This window comes from Homo sapiens, chromosome 3 (genome assembly GCF_000001405.40).
Source record: "Homo sapiens chromosome 3, GRCh38.p14 Primary Assembly".
In the NCBI taxonomy this organism is placed as follows: domain Eukaryota; kingdom Metazoa; phylum Chordata; class Mammalia; order Primates; family Hominidae; genus Homo; species Homo sapiens.
In genome coordinates this window covers 107,841,406-107,861,602 of record NC_000003.12, presented here as the reverse complement: position 1 = coordinate 107,861,602, position 20,197 = coordinate 107,841,406, and the positions used below count along the sequence as shown (strand labels likewise).

The window sequence follows — 20,197 nt, the reverse complement described above, 5'->3', positions numbered from 1 at the left end:
AAAAAAAACCCTGGAATGCTGCCCTTGTTAGCTAATCCTGGTTCTACATTAATGGAAAACACTCAGCTCAGAGTACGGGTACATGGTAGCAGCTGAATGTTTACACATTTTGTAACAGGTAGAATTATTTCTAGATTCTTATTGTGACATTAATCATTCAGTTTGAGCCTACTGTGTGCAAGACACAATAATAATAATACGTTTTTGTTATTAAAAAATAATAATAATAACACATTGGGTGGGCATGGTGGCTCATTCCTGTAATCCCAGCACTTGGGGAGGCTGAGGCAGGAGGATCACTTGAGCCCAGGAGTTTGAGACCAGCCTGGGCAACATGGTGAAACCCTGTCTCTACAAAAATACTAAAATTAGCCAGGCGTGGTGACATGCACCTCTGGTCCCAGCTACTTGGGAGGCTGAGGTGGGAGGATCACGTGAGCCCAGGAGGCAAAGGCTGCAGTGAGCAGTGATTGTGCCACCGCACTCCAGCCTGGATGACAGAGCAAGACCCTGTCTCAAAACACACACACACACACACACACACACACCAAACAAACAAACAAAACAAACACATGTAAGGTAAAAATATGCTCTAACATTGTATAACAATCTCAACACTAACATTTGTTGGTGGACATTTATAGATTTACTAAAAGACACCATCTTTTTTTTTTTTTTTTTTTTTTTGAGACAGACTCTCACTCCCTCACCCAGGCAGGAGTGCAATGGTGCGATCTCGGCTCACTGCAACCTCTGCCTCCCAGGTTCAAGCAATTTTCCTGCCTCAACCTCCCAAGTAGCTGGGATTACAGGTGCATGCCACCACACCCAGCTAATTTTTTTTTTTTTTTTTGTATTTTTAGTACAGACGGGGTTTTGCCATGCTGGCCAGCCTGGTCTTGAACTCCTGACCTCAGGTGATCCACCTGCCTTGGCCTCCCAAAGTGGTGGGATTATAGGCATGAGCCACCACGCCTGGCCAAAAGACATCATCTTAATTAAATGAAACCCATCTCTTCTCGATAACAGATAGAAATTCATAAAATTAAATGATAAAGTCAATGGTTTGAGAGTCATAGCAGCTATTACTTGAAGGACGTCAAGATGGGAATGTTGATTTATATAGGAATATGGAAAGAAAGAATAAACTAAGCTCTATAAACACACATTTTCCTGGGAAAACTGTCCTCTGGCAGAAAAAAAAAAAAAAATGAAATGCTTCTCCTACCCATTTCTACCTGGAAGGAAATCAGTGCAGTTGGACTAAACAATACATCTCAACCCTGGCTGCAAGTTGGGATCCTCTAGGGAGATTTTTTAAAATGTTAGGGTCCCGCATAAATTTACTGAATCAGAATACGTGTGGATATAATTTGTCAGCGAGGGTTCAGAACTAAGGACTTAAGTGAACAGGAAATTTAGGAAGATCAAATTAGGTGATTTTCAAAATAATTTACCAAGATATAAAAAAGAAGATACAAGATATAGAAAAGACATTAAGTTGTTGGAGACTCTTCTTCAAACCTAATTAAAGCAAGCCAATTAAATATATAAAATTTGTGTTATGCTAGCTTAATCAAGGTTGGGAGGGGAGTGTTAGGGTTGGTAAGAGAGTAAATCACATCTGTTCCTGCTCATACATCCTACCTCGCTTTCTGTTCCCCAAGTTGCTGAGTGGTTCTGGACTCCTTGGAGCCCACATTTAAAACTTCTCCTCTGAAAGTTTCAAACATCTCATTTGACAGGTTAGGTATCTATGAAAAAATACACACTGACGATACAAAGAAAAAGTCTCAATAATAAGTGCAGGCCTAGTGTATTAGTCAGCATTCTCTAGAGGGACAGAATTAATAGGAGATATATATATATATAAATATAAAGTGGAGTAGTATTAACTCACACTATGTAAGTATTAACTCACTCGATCACAAGGTCCCACAAGAGGCCATCTACAAGCTGAGGAGCAAGGAAAGCCAATCCAAGTCCCCAAACTGAAGAACCCGGAGTCTGATGTTCAAGGAGAGGAAGGGTCCAGCACAGGAGAAAGATGTAGGCTAGGAGGCTAGGCCCATCTAGTCTTTTCATGTTTTCCTGCCTGCTTTATATTCTAGCTGCGCTGGCAGCTGATTAGATGGTGCTCACCCAGTTTAAGGGTGTGTCTGCCTTTCCCAGCCCACTGACTCAAATGTTAATCTCCTTTGGCAACAACTTCACAGACACACCCAGGATCAGTACTTTGTATCCTTCAATCAAGTTGACACTCAGTATTAACCATGGCACCAGGCAAAGATTATTAAATGTCTTATTAAGACCATTACAGTGAGGGCTTATTTGTCCACAGTGGTTCAATATGAAGGCAGTAGGAGGGACCAGATGAACTCGCATGATTACACATTCACATCCGATATTCCACCATTCAGCTCTTCTTCCAGCTCTTTTCCCAGTGGGAGAGCACTAAGACTACTGGTTTGTGTGGGTTTTTTACAGATATTAACTTAAGCTGTTAATTACTGTTGCTGTTTAATGATTCACTTATGATAATTAACATATTAATTCTTTGTACTTGTGCCCTCAAGCAATTCTGTGAAGGGTGTAATTTTTTAAATTCAGCAAATACAGCTAACAAGCAGTAACTGTCCAAGCAGTACTACTTAAGTGCTATTTCATGAATTATAATATTTAAATTCCATTAACTTAAAAGGATTAGCTTCCAAGGGACTGTTGTCTTCTGATCCTATTTCATATTAATTACTTTTGCAATACCAATAACACTGGCATTTGGACAGCATCTTTCTTTCACTGGGTCTTCATTTGTAGTGAAGATGAGAGCTTACAAAAACAAAGGCCAGCCTGGGCAACACAGTGGGATCTTGTCTCTACTAAAAATAAAAATTAAAAAAATTAACCGGGTATGGTAGTATACACCCATAGTCCTGTTACAGAAAGTTAGGTAGACATGAGCAGGGCAGGAAAGCCCCCTCCCCCATAAGGAATATCAGACAACTAAGAGGCAAAATAGCAGAGTTTAACTGGTATACGACCTTCCTCTAGGAATACTTTCCTGGTAAGGGAAGAATGCCCCTTAGTGCTTGAGCCCACTGGCCCAACTCCTGAGATCTTATTGGGAAGCTACTAATCACCAACTTCAGGTGTTTCTACCTATTGGGAGACTGCCTTTTCCTGGCACCACCTACAACCAATTATTATTTTAGAGAGAGTTTAACAACCACCTGACCATCACCTAATGGTTGCCTGATATTCCAGTGGGGTGAGGTGGGGACCTTTCTGTCCTGCTCGTGTCTGCCGGACTACCTACTGGAACAGCTCTAGCTACTCGGGAGGATGAGGTGGGAGGATTTCTTGAGCCCAGGAGTCCGACGTTGCAGTGAGCTATGATTGCACCACTTCACTCCAACCTGGGCAACACTGCAAGACCCTGTCTCAAAAAAAGGAAAACAAGAGAAAAGAGAAAGAGGGAGAGAGAGGGGAAGGAGAGGGCAGAGAGAGAGAAAGGGAGTGAGGGACAGAGAGGCGGGGGGGAAAGGTCAGTGTCCTCAAGTTCAATTAAATCCAACAGCTATTTATGGAATGCCTGCTATGTGCTGGACATGTAGACAGATACAAAGATGTGAGTGACAGTCAGTGGTTCAAAGCAGGGTAATGGGCGTTATAATATAATTGCTCCAATTCATTAGGGACCTACGATATACCAGATTTGCATATATTTTCTTTAATCCTCATGACAGTGGTTCAGGGTAGGAATCAAAATCTCTATTTCACAGATGAGGAAAAACTAAAAAGAGTTAAATGGCTTGCTTACAACCACCCAACTAATATTTGGCAAAACCAGGATTTGAACCTAGCCATAACTTGCTGGGAAATTCTGCCTTTTCCTCATAGAATATGTCAGCAGAAGACTCCAAGCAACACTGTGAAACAGGCAATGCTTGCCTTTGGTCTCCCTACCACTCTTATTTTATGTGATCCTATTTCTCTATTGGAGCTCTTCCCCTCCCCCACCTACATTTTTTCTAGTACTTTCTTGGCTGTTCTCTGGATTTCAAGTACAACATAGAAACAATGTATTTAGACATGCTCTCCCCATTAAGTCCCCTACACTCTAGACCAGAGCTGTGCAATCAACTTTCAGCACATTCAGAAATGTTCTGTATCTGCACTCTCCAATATGTCGGCCACTAGCCACATGTGGTTACTGAGCCCTTGAAGTGTAGCTAATGTGACTGAGGAATTGAATTATTTTATTTTAATTAATTTAAATTTGAATTTAAGATTAAATAGCCACATAGGGTTAGTGTCCATCGTTTTAAACAGCATAGCTCCAAAACATTCTCAATTCACTCTGTGCTTAAAATGTTCTTTTTCCATGTTTTGTTTTTCAGAGCCTGTTCTGCTGGGACACAGAATCACTTGCTCCATCTCATACATTGATGATGATTAATTTGTATGTGTACCTTCCAAAAAAGATGGTTGTGTTTGAATGGAGGCCTTCTGGACAGGAAAATGTAAGTTTTCATATGAAATGACAGGCCACTTGGGGAGGTATTTGATGATCAAAAGGGCCTTTAAACCTCATTAATTCCATACATGGGAATGGCCAGATGTTGGTCCCACTTAATTTTTTGTCACATTCACCCTTTACGATAATCGAGCAATTTGTATCACACACCTTGACACAGAACTCAGATGTTTTCACATGCTTTTTCCAAGTACTTTTCCCAGGGTACATGTATTCTGCTTTCTGCTTTTTTTCTGTCAAATAGCCCAAATAGTTAATACCAACTGGAGTGCCCAGTTTCCTGAAAAATACTGTTGACAGGAGCCCAAAAGCAATAGCCCCCACCTGTCACAAACCTGTAGCAGGTCTCTGGGAGATGCTAGAAGCTACAACAGGCTCTCCGCCCCAGGGATATTGCATTTTCTCCCTAGAGTTATAAAAGGGAAAGTTTTCAGAGTACAAAATTGAAGGCTTTTACAGTATAAAATTGAAGAGGCACAAAGTATATAGCTGAGGCACAAAACCGGACACTAAGGGCTGACCTCAGCCAATTAAGAGATTCTGAGAAAAAAGAAAGAGGCAGAGGGCTGGAGGAAAGGTGGGTCCGGAATCAAAGCAGAAGCCAAAATCCAAGGACCAACAACACAAACTCCAAATCATGTCCAGGTGGGAGGGGACAAGTTCCAAGGGGCTTACAAAGCAGCTCAAGGTTTTCAAGTTGGTTTTAGGGTCCGTTGGTCTGAGAGTACCTTCGCTTTCCAGAAGGTCGCTTGGTCTGAACTTAACATGGCGTAACACAAGGATCTGTGAGGATTTTTCTTGCTATACATCCTTTCTTTCATGTGTACAAATTGAGTGCAGATCCTTAGACGAGCTACATGCTGTTGGTCATTAACTTCAGGAAACTGGCATGGGTCCGCCTGAGGAGAAACTCGGAGAGATGGGCCCTCCAGAACAAATACGTTTATTTTGCAACAGCAGGGGATGGCAATACAGGATATGTGTGCCATGACAGATCACACGCACATCCAAGGGGGTCAGGGCAAAGGGGAAGCTTTTAAAGACAAAGAGAAGTCCATGTGAGTTGCTTTTTAGTAACATTCATAGGTCACAAGCTCATGGCAGTTAGTGTTTGTTCGCTGGTGGAGACTGTTGCTAAGTACCTGTCCTTGTGTGAGTGGCTTATCCAGAATACTGCCATCTCGAGGAAGTTCTTGAGATAGGTCCCGTTACTGATCTATGTGCTAGAGTGTCTTCTGTAAGGCTTGTTACAGGCATGTGTGCGTAAAGGCTTCTTCTTCATGGCCTCCCCTGACTCACTCTGTTTTGTTACAGTTTGACATAAGTGACTCCATTTTGGCACCAGCACCTTTCACACATGGTAGGGAAAGAAAGGTAGGAACCCACAGAGAACAACTGAACAGAATTCTTAAACAGATGCCTCCAAATTTTTACTCAAATACGGCTTAGGGAAAACCATCCTTCCATCCTTGTAGGTATCATCAGTGTTTATTCTCAGAAATGTTTTAATTCCTCCATTCAGAATCAGCAGACCTTCACTCTGGGTTACTCACATAAAAGCACCACATAGCTCATTTCTTACTGAAATTAGAGGGTTGCCCTCCACGAAGAGCATTAGGGCTTATTCGTTTATCCATCAGACACAGACAGCTCTTGAGGTATCTGAAGCCTGTCTCTTCAGGTACACAAAGCATTACAGCATTAAGTCAGCAGAGCGAAGGACCATGATTTTGCAATGAAAATAATAATTTAGGTGAGTAAAATAAAACATCCTTTTAGAGGGTTCACAACCATTAATTTTCTGTCTTTCAAAAATTACGTTCTGCATTGTTTTAGATGGAGAGTGCGTGCTTTGGATTCAAGACTGGGAATGAGGGGACCAGAAACCTATTCTGTGGCTGTTTCTTGTTAGGACTTTCCTAAGCCTCTGGAAAAGGTGACTCTGCTGTGCTCACTGCTCTAACTCTTTAGGTTTCTTTCTGCATACATATTAAAAGGAGCTTATTCTCCCTGACAGAGCATTTCTGATTTGACAGAACGGTGTAAGATATATTCACTCAAGTGAGAAAAAAAGAAATTGAGGTCTGTTTGTATTTCCTTTAGGCTATAAGCTTCTTAAGCAGAGACTGTCACGTTTTTACTCCTTAGTGGACTGTAACGGTAGCATAATATTCTGCATCTAATTAGTCATTTCATTAATTTTATTGGAACCAGAATGGTGACTACTGGCCTAATTAGAAGGAATCGCCCTTGGCTTCTAGGCTTAAAGATAAGCTCTTGTCGTTCAGAGAGAGAAATGCACTTTACAAAAGACGTGACTATCAGAGGCACAACCCTGTTCTCTCTGCTTTGCATTTCTCATTTCCTTCAGGTTCAATCCTGCTGATGCTCTCCATGGAGATGGTCAGCAAGGTGGGTGCCCACGAACCAGAGAAGAGTGAGGAGGGAACAAGGTTCCTCTGTGTGGTGATTTGTGGCTTTGGGATAGCTGGTGTCAGTTTTATCAATGTATGATTGGGTTTTTTAAATTATGAAACTATTTGAATATACATATGTGTGTATGTGTGTGTATATATGTGGATATGTGTGTGTATATATATATATATATATTTTTTAATCAAAAGACATTGCTGTCAGTAAAGATGACAATTGTTTAAGAGCCTTTACCAAATTTATAATCTACATAATGGTGAATATTCAAACTGACTTTCCTCAAAACACTTCTTAGCTAATTTTTCAAGCTTGCCCAAGAGTGCTCATGACAAGCCTCTGCCAACACCCAGGGGAGTTCTGTTGTGTCCACTACAATTCCAAAGCTAAAAGTAGAAGGAGATTTCATTTTCACACCTCAGAGAGTTTATTTTGCTGTTCTCAGAGGCCAGTTCCTGCCCCCAGTTTCCCATAACAATTAATTATAAAAAGGTGATTTCCCAAGGAACAAATGGTTAAGCACAAAGATTTAGTTGTCCTAGTGTTTGCATGGTTTTATATCCACTGTTTAATTTTTCCAGTGCAAAGTACAATTAACATTTGAGTCTGTCTGAGTCATGAAGAAATGGAGATTACTGAAAATAATTCATTTTGGTATCTTCTTACATCCTGAGAGACTAATCTTTCCAAGTTCATCTGAGGCTCCTCTTCTCCATGACAACCTCATCCAGGGATTTCTTCCTGTCCTGGTGTTTTATGACATGTAAGTGAAGACCCACATGCTGCTTTGTATATTTTTGTCAAAAGAGGAAAAACTGTCTTGTCGAGGACAGGAACTAAATTATATGCAGTATTTCTTTAGAAGCCCATTCAGCATCTTAAAGTGTTAGGTACAGAGAAGGCCCTCCATAAAAATTTGCTAAATTGAAACTAGGAGCAAACGTTAAGTCAAGATCAAACTCAGGAATAACTATGGCTATTAATCATCTTTTACCCAGAATTTAAATAATTTCATAAGTATTGCCTGAAATCTTTTTCTTTATGTCAATAGTAGCATGTTTTACTGGTGGTAGGATGTCTGGGGTGAATATCAAAGATCTGGCCCAAGTTGTTCCTGGGAGCTGGGGGTTAGGGAGTAGGAGAGAAAGATATTTAACTCTTCCAAATACCTAGTGGATTAGGATCCCACAGGGAACTACTGAAAATGCAAATGGGGCTGGGGTAGGGGCTCACACCTGTAATCCCAGCACTCTGGGAGGCCGAGGCTGGCGGATCACTTGAAGCCAGTAGTTCAAGACCAGCCTAGCCAACCTGGTGAAACCCTGTCTCTACTAAAAATACAAAAATTAGCTGGGTGTCGTGATGCACGCCTGTAATCCCAGCTACTTGAAAGACTGAGGCAGAGAAACATTTGAATCCAGGAGATGGAAGTTGCGGTGAGCTGTGATGGGGCCACTGCACTCCAGCCTGGGCAACAGAGGGAGACTCTGTCTCAAAAAAAAAATTAAAACGCAAATGGGATCATATCTTAAAATCAGCCAATAGCTTCCCATTATCTTTAGAGGAAAACTCCAAAGTCCTCCTTGAAGTGGTACCCAAGGCCCTCCTGAATCTAGCTCTTGATTTCTTTTCCGCTCATGTCTCACAGCTCCCCAAGGCACTACCACAACCTGAAGCATGACATTGAAGTTGCCTATGGTTTGCAATGCTTTTCCATTTCCCTGTCCTCATTAATTTCCATTTATTCTTCAAGGCCCAGATCAGGCTTCAACTTCTCCAGAAATCCTTTTCAGACACCTCTATTCTGGATGAGTTGCCCTTCCTATATGCCCCTACTCTAGCTTTGCTTACCTAAGTATACTAACTGTTGCATAGTATCATCATTTTCTGTCTTCCTCACCTGTCCTACCATTTAGTAGGTTGTTTTTTAATAAACTTTTTGTCTTAGTCCATTTGGGCTTCTATAACAGAACACCATAGACTGTGTAGCTTATAAACAACAAAAATTTATTTCTCACGGTTCTAGAGGGTGGGAAGTCCAAGAGCAAGGCACTGGCAGATTGGGTGTCTGTTGAGGGCCCTCTTCCTGGTTCATACACAGCCGTCTTTCTGCTGTGTCCTCCCATGGAAGAAGGATCAAAGAAACTCTCTGGGACCTTCTTCGTGAGAGTACTAATCTCATTCATGAGGCTTCCACCCTCATGACCTAATCACCTCCCAAGGCCCCATTTCCTAATACCATACCATTGGGGATTAGGTTTCAACATATAAATTTGGGGGAAAGAGGTCACAAACATTTAAGCTACAGCAGTTTTATAGTGGTTAAGAACATAAGCCCCGAAATAAGATTTCCCTAGTTAGTATTTCATCTCTGCCTCTCATGAGCTTTGAGAACTTAGGTCAAGTTATTTACCCTCTCTCTCCTTTATTTTACTCATTTGTAACATTAAATGAATATAGTAGTACCCACATACAATGCAATTAGATGCTTACCACAACGCAGAAAGAAAGTAGTTAGCTTGTGCATTTATTTGCTTATTTTTTATTTTTATTTTCTCTCTGGAATGTAACCTCCAGGAGATATTGGAACTTGTCTCCTCATTCACTGCTGTATCCCAAGCACCTAGAACAATACCTGTAATATTCTAGGAGCCCAGTGCATATTTGCAGACTATCTGTTGAATGGATATATTGATAAATGGCATGTGAGTTAGTCATAGCATCTTCAAGCCACTGTAGGCCTGCCAATTTTCTTTTTATTTTTTTAAAATTTTTTATTTCCATAGGTTTTGGGGGGAACAAGTGGTATTTGGTTATATGAGTAAATTATTTAATAGTGATTTGTGAGATTTTGGTGTACCCATCACCCAAGCAGTATACACTGAACCCAGTTTGTAGTCTTTTATCCCTCACCGCCTTCCCACCCTTTCCCTCTGAGTCCCCAAAGTTCATTGTATCATTCTTATGCCTTTGCTTCCTCATAGCTTAGCTCCCACTTATGAGTGAGAAAATACGATGTTTGGTTTTCCATTCCTGAGTTACTTCACTTAGAATATTAGCCTCTAGTTCCATCCAGGTTGCTGCAAATGCCATTAATTCATTCCTTTTTATGGCTGAGTAGTATTCCATCGTATATATATACCACATTTCTTTAGCCACTCTTTGATTGATGGGCATTTGGGGTGGTTTCATATTTTTACAATTGCGAATTGTGCTGCTATAAACATGCGTGTGCAAGTATCTTTTTCATATAATGACTTCTTTTCCTCTGGGTAGATACCCAGTAGCAGGATTGCTGGATCAAACAGTACTTCTACTGTTAGTTCTTAAAGGAATCTCCACACTGTTTTCCATAGTGATTGTACTAGTTTACATTCCCACGAGCAATGTAGAAGTGTTCCCTTTTCACTGCATCCACACCAACGTCTATAATTTTTTGATTTTTTGATTATGGCCATTCTTGCCGGAGTAAAGGTGGTATCACATTGTGGTTTTGATGTGCATTGCTCTGATCATTGGTGATGTTGAGCAATTTTTTAAATGTTTGTTCAGCTCTGCCAATTTTCTACAGAAGTAGAAGTTCCCTGTCTTCCTGGTATGGTCCCACACATAGTAGATACTCAACAAATATTAGTTTTCTGTCCTGCCCATTGTCAGCCACAAGGTCTTGCATGAGAATGAAACCCTTTGGCAATATCCGTTTTGGAGTTTGGTGACAGTGACAAATATGAGTACAAATATCAGCAACTGCAATCTCTGTTTCAGACATGCACATATACAGACTCGCAATGAACAATGACAGTCATAACAACTATTTCAAAACAACTCAAGCAAAGCAACTTCCTAGTTATCACTCATATCTCAACAGATATTAGAATCCAAATCTTTGTAGAGTTTCTATCCTCAAGCAGAAATTCATATTTTATAGTCACTGACATCATCATATAACAAATAGAGCTTGACATTTTCAATATGAGAAATTTATCGTGACTACTTTTTTCTACAGAAGAAATTTTTAAAGCATCTCAAGTAAAGAGAGCATTATATGCCAACTTTTTTTTTTTTTTTTTTTTTTTGGTTAAAGGGCTATTTTTTACAAATAGAGTTTGGGGAACATTGCTAAATTCATCAAAGTTTGAACTTATTTTTGCTCAAGCTAACTTGAAATCTTGTGTATAGGAAAGAGTATTGAACAGCGGATAAGGAGGCCAGGTTTTATTGCCCCCTCAGTTTGCCCCTGCCTGGCTGTGTGGCCTTGAACAATGACTACCTTTCTCATTCTAGGTGGAAGGGGACTGTAGCAGGTGATCTCCAAAGTCTCTGGAGACTTACTAATGTGGTAATACTAACTTAAGAGCTGTGGGGGTAGGTGAAACGGGCTTTGAAAGCAGAGCAGTGCTTTGTTCCATTGCCTTGATGCCTTGGTTTTATTTCAAATACACCATTTGATTTGTTTTAAAAGACTGCAAAATCTTTAAAAAGATTTGCTATGCTAAAAAGGATGTGAAATGTGTTATTTCTATGGTAGGGAAGGGGTACAAGAAGTGGTAGGTGGTGGGAGAAGATGGTGGTAGGATGGATTTAAAAGGGTCTCGTGAAACAGGATGTGGATGCCAGCTGTGCGATGTTAAACAAATTCCTTCACCTCTCTCCCTGTCTTCCAGCATCCTCATCTCGCTTGTAAGGATAATAGCCTTCCTCCAAACCTCACACACTTTTGGAGGAGATCACTTTTTTTAAAGTGCATGGAAATGTTTTGAAACAGTGAAATCTATAATGATAGGTTTCATAATTCTAACATCCACACCATATGGTAAGGACAAATAACACTAGGTGACATGAATCTTATTCATAATTCAAATGTACAAAAAAATGTAAACTTTCTACCACTAAACTTAATGTCTATTTTAAGCCTAGAAACTCAATCTCAGTCACTCTTGTGTTTCCTTCCTGTGGAATTCTGGGGGTTCACAGAGTCCCAGGGTGTGGATGTGGTAGGAGTCGGGGGCACCTGGTTGCCAGGGTCATCTCTCCACACAGATGTCTGCTGGGGCATCCACTTGCCCTCAGTTGTTGATCCACAACAGGCTGCAAGTGACATCCTTTCTTTCTGTCCAAATGGCACGTTTAGGCCCCACCACCTCCCTGCTGTGTCTATGCCTCCTTGGAGGTGCACAGGCTCCTGTGAGGCTATCTACAGCCCCTCTTCCTATATTCTCTCTGAAGTCCCTCTCTGGGGTCTTCCTGTCCCTGGGCTCAGTCAGCTTTTCTCATCTGTCACTTCATTCTAAGATCATCTCTAGGGCTAGCTAGGTATTAACAGGAAGGAAACACCTGTCCTCTGCTCTTTGGCCTCCTCATCTAGTCTGGGAAATCCCTTCCAGTCCTCAGAGGAGCCTTGCTTCCCTTATAATATCCTTCTTCCCAAATATTTTGTTTTTCCTCAAAGCCCTCACAATTTCCCCTGAGGCCTGAGGTTCGGCTTGCTCACACTTCTCTCTCCCCTGCTTCCCACAGAATCACATCCTTCCTGAGATAATGAGCACACAATTGCCTGGATACCTGAAGGAATGGAGACAGCGGCAGAAAACACTGCAGAGAGGTGGAAACATCCGTTAATATTTTAAAATCCCATTACTGCTACCAACAATAATAATGGATGCATAGAAATAGATCTGGATTAGCTGAGCTTGAAACAGTCCATCTCACACACACACAAAAGAATTTCAGGTAATGAAGAAAAGAAAAGGAAAAAAATAACACATGGCCTCTGTAACATTGTTGCTTTTGAACCTTATTGGATTTGTGGCAAACTGGGTGCTTTTGGGACATGAGTCTCCTACCACTCACCTGCCTCTGAGCTCTCCTCTGAGGCCGGTCACTGCCCAGAAGGGATGCACCTGTCTTCTGTCCTGTGGTCTCTGGGTAGCCCCTGGGTCAGCATTTTGGGTGCTAGCATCTGATGCAACTGCTACAGTTGCTGATGAGAAAGTAGCTACCCTCCTCCACTCCACCCCTGCCGCCCAGGCCCTGCCACTCCTGCTAACCTGTCAGGCTACATTTTCAATTACTGGCTTTGAAAAATGTCCAGGTGGATTAAATCAATGAATGCGATGAGCTGAACACAAGGCAATGGCAATTCTGTGGCCTCCCTCGGGATAATTGGTGAGTGCATGGGGTGTTGAAAATCCAAGCCTGAAAATCATTGCTTTGAAGAAAGGGAGGACAACAACCAAACTATTTCTTCCATGAAAATGCATAACATTTAAATAATGTCCCCGTTCTTCTCAGTGCCCATCAACCTTCATTTTTTAATGCACTGAAAAGTCTAAATATTTATTCAATTCACAGGATTTATTACAGCTTCATTCAGCTAGGGCACATACACATTTTTTAACTACATGGCACTTTTTAAATAGCATCATTTAAAAATAATTAGGAAATAATTGTGATTGTATTCTAAAGATGTAAGATACTATCTAGTTTTAAAAAGTAACCAGAAAGAGTGTTCCTAAAGGACGACCCATAATCAACAGCTAGAAACAGCTGGCATTTATTTTACATAGAAAAACAGTTCGCATGTAGGGAATCACCATCTGACTCACTAAACTGCCCAGTGTTGTCGGGAAAAAATAGGCTGGTTAGAAAGTCAGCTTGTGGCTAACCATGTTCCAGACCACCTGGCCTTGCTCTGCTATGAGGTCAAAAGGCTGGTTTTGTGTTATCATGGAAAGAGGTGAGATTCCAGCCAGACACTTGCCGCGTGCAAGGTCACCTGGGCGTCACCTTTTAGGACGGCTAGAGGAGATGTCAGGGATTGAAGGGGGTGGCGAGGAGGAGCTTTGTCCATAATCTCTATAAGCCACTCTCCTTCATTGATAACATAGACAATCAGAATTGCCATTTTCTGTTTCATCTAAAGTGCTATGAAACACAGCTTCAGCTTGCTCCTTCCAACAGATCCCTACATAGATGCTCTGGAACGGCCTCTTTGTGTTTATTAATGGAAATTTCCCACAATAACTGCAAGTGACTAAAAAGATGCTGTGTCTTTCATCCCTGTCTCTGTCATCATCATGCTTTCTTAACTAACATAATTTTTGAGAAATATTGGGAAAATGCCAACAAAGAAATATAATTTGAAATTCCACCATCCAGAGAAAATCACTTTTCCTAGGGAATAGAGACATCTTCCAACTTATGCAATTTATACAATCATCTGTTTTTCAAAGGTCTTAAGTAAATCATATTTCATATACATTGAAATGCTTTCGATTTGCTTCTGCGGCTTTTTGTATCACCATTCATGGTGTTACAGTTCCTTTTTAAAATGATTTAAAAAAAAAAAAAAGACAAGGTCTTTGAAATTATTGAGCCACCCATGCCTAGCCACCAACTTTGTACTAGGGGTGCTGTATCTTTCCCTTTACGCCTTCAAATAGACTGCTAGCCTCTGTCCTTATCAGCACTTTCCAGTTGAAATTAGAAGGCAGTAAAGGCGAAATGACACAAACAACATGGAATTAGCGTGGCTGACACACAGAGATCACAGCAGGTAATGGAGACAGGTGAGGACCCAGTGAGGGGCATGGGGAAGGGGCTGTGGAGCTCTGAAGTGCATTTCCCACATTTAGCCTTGCACTGGATGTACAAATGTCCACATCTCTAAAATTAAATTATGTACCTTATGGAGCAATTTGCATAAAACAATTTTGTATCTGTTGTGTGTTTCATAACCTGCGGTACATCTGTACATTTATAGATTTTAAAAAATAGTATATATCCTGCTTTGTAACATGCTTTTTTTGTTGGCACATGCCTCTTTATGTCCATAAATAAATACAGACGTCATAATTGCCGATGACTACAAAACCCTCTGCTGTGTGTATCTATAAGAATTATTTAAACAGTTTCCAGTGAGTGGATCTTCTGGGTGTTTCCAGTTCGGCTTATAATGGACGCCTCGGGTTCCCAGGGTTGTGTTCTTTGGTCTGCCTCTGGTTTCAGCCATAGCTGCAATGAACATGGTCATGAGAGCTCAGACTCACATGGAAAAGCTAGCAAAGGGGCTTTTCCGATGCTAAAGAGCCTTGAGGCAAAGGAGAGTCTTTCTCCTTGCTCCTAGACAACCTTAAACCAGTGGGGACGGACTGGTGAATAAATGCTTCAGGAGACCTTGTGAGTGTTTCGCGAGAGGGCGCTGTGGAGTTGAGTCCCAGCAGCCCAAGGCATCAGCCTCACTAAGTTTGCTTTTCCCTCTTCCCTACTCTCTCCCTCCTGCTTCCCAGGATCATGTTGGAAATAAACTACCTGTATCCAGACAAGTCCTAATCTCTCCTGTTCTGAGCCAAGATAGGGACTCTGATAAACAATGATGTGGACAATATCCTTGAATGCACATCTCTGCCGTGGATCTAGTTATTTCCTTAAGACAAATCTCTAGAAATGCTCATTGCTGATCTGGTTATTTCCTTAAGATAAATCTCTAGAAATGTTCACTGCTGAGTCAAAGGGCATGGACTTTTAAAAACAAGCTCAAACAAGTGCTCTGTTTAACAGAGCTCTTAACTGTAAGGCGATTGATTTTATTTTATTTGCCTTTGCCTATTCAATCCCAGAGCTATCATGAAGCTCTCTTCCATCAAGAAGCAAAACATTGATACTAACTTCCTGTAGTCTTTTAAGCCACCCTCTCCAGAGGCCCCAGAAATCCCTCCCCGTTGCTGTCCTGCAAACACGATGAATGGAATAGTTGGAATGCACACCCACTGTCTCTCAAATAGACAGCTCACTTTATTGCCTGGTAGTTATTAAGAATGAGTAGTAATTTTGCTGTAGAAAAGACTACTTATAGGGAAAGTAAGAAACGAGAGAAACATTCACTCATAATTTAACACAAGGAAATAAAACCAACCAGAAGATAAAATGTCTGTTTCTCAAACAGCTCAATCCTTATATCACTAGTAGCACTGGAGCTCTTAATTATAGATAGTAAAGCCTCTGGATGTTATTTTTTACCCAACATCAGTGGTAACAGACGCATAAGGAACTGCTCAGAGTAGTACAGAAGGAACTCTAATGCGCAGGCGCTTCGGTGGGGCAGCAGCAAATGTGCGTGATCTGGCTAAAGAGGGAACCCAGAAAGGGTGTCAGCTCCAAATATGGATTAGCCACAGCCTTTCCACGAGGGGGAATGGTGACCATATGTTTGCAAGTATAATTTACAGAAACATATATGTGATTATTTTTTAAAATAAGTGAACTATTTATAAATCTTAGCCAATGAATCTTTGTGACATCTCCTTTCAGGAAGCCTAATTTTAAAAGGTATATAAAACCGTTCTCCTGGCCAACACTTGCAGGTTCTGCCCGCTTGGATGGCTTCCCTAAAAAAGGAAAAAACAAACAAAACCAACCTTCCTTGGCTGTGTTTGCCATCAACATCAAGAACTGCAGCAAAGGCATTCTGACTGCTGTTTATTACTACTGTTTATTCTGTCATAATTACTATCACCAAACCCACATGATTACAGTGTTAGTAATTTTATTGATTATAAATAGCACTAATGCTGTAATACATTAGCAAAGACACAGCATTAGGGAGACATGGTCCATACTCACTTGGAGAGTTGCACCTTTGAGGATGATTGTTTAAACCATCCTGGAAAGCATTATCCTTACATGGCCCCGGTTTCCAGTCACTCCAGTGAAGGTTTCCTTTAAACACTACCGCCATTCTCCCTGCTCAGTGTTTCTGTGGCCTTCTCAGATGTCCTTCATGCAGTCTAGGCTGTGCTTTGTATTCAAAAGAGAATCCCTTGATAGTATATGGACCCAGTAATGTCCTAGTTTCTTGAATTTGCTAAAAGCAGGGGCATTAGATTGTGAAAGCCCACTACAGCCATTTCTATTTTAACAGTGATACATCTTCCTTTTGGCAAGAGTACTATTGAGTGAATTCGTACAGTCTTGGGCCCTTCCATGTTTATTTAAAGATTGTATTTTCTGAGGGAGGAGGACAAAGGGCACAATTGGGACTTTACTCAAAACACCCACATATCATAGAGGGAATCTACATTTACTGTTTAATTTTAGTTTTCAAAATTTATTGCAAAGAGTCACCTGGATAAAGAGAAATCCCCCCACAGAACAATGTCTTTCTGCCTTCTCCAAAGCACACTCCCTTTTCTGAGGAGTGATGCTTTCACTTAAAATGGTGTATATTGATTAAAGTCAACATATTTCCTGTTTTTTAGGTGTCTGCTGGGTTCTTGGGAGCATTTTTTTTTTTTTTTTTTTTTTTTTTTTGAGACGGAGTCTGCTCTGTCGCCCAGGCTGGAGTGCAGTGGCGGGATCTCGGCTCACTGCAAGCTCCGCCTCCCGGGTTCACGCCATTCTCCTGCCTCAGCCTCCCAAGTAGCTGGGACTACAGGCGCCCGCCACTACGCCCGGCTAATTTTTTTTGTATTTTTAGTAGAGACGGGGTTTCACCGTTTTAGCCGGGATGGTCTCGATCTCCTGACCTCGTGATCCGCCCGCCTCGGCCTCCCAAAGTGCTGGGATTACAGGCGTGAGCCACAGCGCCCGGCCGCATTTTTTTTTTTAACATAAGCCTTTCTTTATTGATTCAGAACTAGAAAACATTTTAATATAGTGGTAACATTTAGTCACAATGGGGAGTGTGCTTTTGGCAATTCCCTGGTTAATGGCATGAATGTCTGTGTCTGTATGTGTGTATAGAAATCCATTAGACTCATTTTAAGGTGGTTTTTTAAAAAACACTAAAATATGTAAATATCCTGATGATTGAGACTACAGGTTGATATTTTATAATGTTGTTTTCTGTTCACATTCAGATACAGTGAACCCACATGTTGAAGCTTTCTAGTATAATAAAAATTTCAACTGTTCTGTTGAATCATCTGCCTGATTGGAGGCTACAGAAAAGATGTCATCTTAGGTAAGGACTGAAGGGTAAATGACTGTAAAACATGATTTAAAAAGACACTAAATGTAAGAAAGCCTTAGCCCAACTTTTACTTCAAAATTCCTATTGATTTGTTATATCAGGAAGAGTCTTAGAATAATTCCTTTGATTGTCCTCTAAATTTACTTCAAGTTAAATTCATGTTCTCTCGAATCTTCTCACCATTCTCAGGCTGTATGTAGACACCAAATGGGTGCAAATAATGAAACATATTCTGTAACTAGCTGCCTTGTATAGACCCAACTTAAAAGAAACAAAAAAAAAATGATGGATTTTTGGTAATGTGCTTTTATTTTAAAAGGATAAAGAAAATTCAGCCCCATCGTGGAACTTATCTGTAACATGAATTAATCTTCTTAACAAATAAAGTCAGTCCCCCTATTTTACTTGACCCTGCCCCAAAGGGAATATATAGCCTCCCAGATTACTACTGAACATTTTGAGTAGCAACAAACTTCAGATCCTTGCATATCTTAGTCTGTGTTGCAATAAAGTAAGCTTGTCCAACTCGCGGCCCATGGGATGCATGCAGCTCGGGACAGCTTTAAATGCGACCCAGCACAAATTCGTAAACTTTCTCAAAACATTATGAGTTTTGTTTTTTTTTTTGCAATTTTTTTTCGCTTATCAGCTACCATTAGTGTATTTTATGTGTGGCCCAGGGAAGCCAAAAGATTGGAAACCCCTGCGAATACCCAAGGCCAGGTAATTTCTAAAGAAAATGGGTTTATTTGGCTCACAGCTCTGTAGGCTGTACAAGCAGCACGGTGCTAGCATCTGCTTCTGGTAAGAGCTTCAGGAAGCTTCCAATCATGGCAGAAGGGGAAGGGGAGCCAGTGTGTTACATGGTGAGAGCAGAAGTGAGAGAGAGAGAAAGGAGGTGCCGGACTCTTTTCAATAACCAGATCTCACAGGAACTAAGAGTGAGAACTTAATCATGAGAAGGCCATTAAGCCATTCATGAGGGATCTGTCCCACTGGGCCAAACACCTCCTAATAGGCCCCACGTCCAACTTTGGGGATCCATTTTCAACATCAGATTTGGAGGGGACAAATACCCAAACTATATCATTGCAATGATTGTGACAAATGTCAAGTGGAGAGAGTCTGACTTCATTTTATTATAACTACTTTACATGAAAAGTCCTTTTATGAGGCCCAGAAATTTCTATGAAAAGTAAAATGTCCCCAGTGGCTCAAATGGCTGTATGGGGTTTTATGTTGAGGTATACCAGACCATGACATATTTCATATTTACTCTGATTTCATATTTACTGTAATTTCATATTTATTCTGATTGAAGATCTCATGACTTGACATAAGGATGATATTATATAGACTCAAATTCCAGAATTCTTATATGTTTCCAGAGAGAATGGGCAAAAAGCCTTCAGTTAGAGTCACATATTGCTTACTTTTTTTCTTTTTAATTCTAGGAGTGCTTGCTCTGAGTGAGGCTCATCTTCAAATCTGAATGACCACAAGGAGATTTGATTATACATGTGAACACCTCAGAAGGCACAGCCCACCCAGAAGGCAGACAGGTCAGGCTGCTTTTTCTTCATTGCTTGGATTCAATCCTCCGGGCGGCTCAGGCTCAAACATAACTTAAGCATGATTAAACTTTAGAAGAAGCTGCCAGGAAGACTGTGAAATCTTCATGCCCAAGGATCCCTAAAATTAGGAGCAACAACCACTTGGCTCAGACGGTTTATGGAGGCAAAGGTTTGGATGGGATTAGAGATTTCTAAATGTGAGTTCGTGTCCTCTGCCAGACCACCTTACTTCCACCATTCCTCAGCAAATCAAGAAAAACAGGAGAAAAGACATGCCTTTCCATAAGTTAAATCTATTCTGTTTTAATTCTATATTATATCTGCTGTACAACTTCTTTTGTTTGTAACACCATATTGTTGCTAGTAACTGGAAATTAATTTTCACATGCCTCAGCTTAGAAAAATAAAAAGCAGCCCTGCATCAATCCCAATTTCCTTTTTAGTTTTAATGAGCCTTGAAATCCGAAATTTCGGAAACCATTGGTCTAGATAATCTTCATTCAACAAATATTCATTCAGCTGCCTGTTCTTATGTCATACAAAGGGAAAATAACTTTTTCCACAGGATTATGAAAATAATTAAATGAACTAATATTCATTGCGCATGGCACCATGTTAAGCGCTTTACATATGCAAATTATTTTATTTAATTCTTGCAAAAACCCTAAGACAAAGACAACCAACAAA

General features: G+C 40.7%; 1 long non-coding RNA gene across 2 annotated transcripts in view; it reads left to right on the top strand.

Annotated features, from left to right (window-relative positions):
- Positions 1-19,941, top strand: part of LINC00635 (long intergenic non-protein coding RNA 635) — a 36,407-nt gene extending 16,466 nt beyond the window's left edge. Inside the window, exons 4-11 of one of the 2 annotated variants that reach the window (NR_015414.1) lie at positions 4,401-4,523; positions 6,374-6,473; positions 7,549-7,730; positions 11,252-11,306; positions 11,632-11,780; positions 12,485-12,697; positions 17,824-17,927; positions 19,391-19,941. This is a non-coding gene — a long non-coding RNA (long intergenic non-protein coding RNA 635). The remainder of the gene's footprint in view (positions 1-4,400; positions 4,524-6,373; positions 6,474-7,548; positions 7,731-11,251; positions 11,307-11,631; positions 11,781-12,484; positions 12,698-17,823; positions 17,928-19,390) is intronic. The other variant, NR_024276.1, reaches the window with a different exon arrangement.
- Positions 19,942-20,197: the final 256 nt, after the last annotated feature.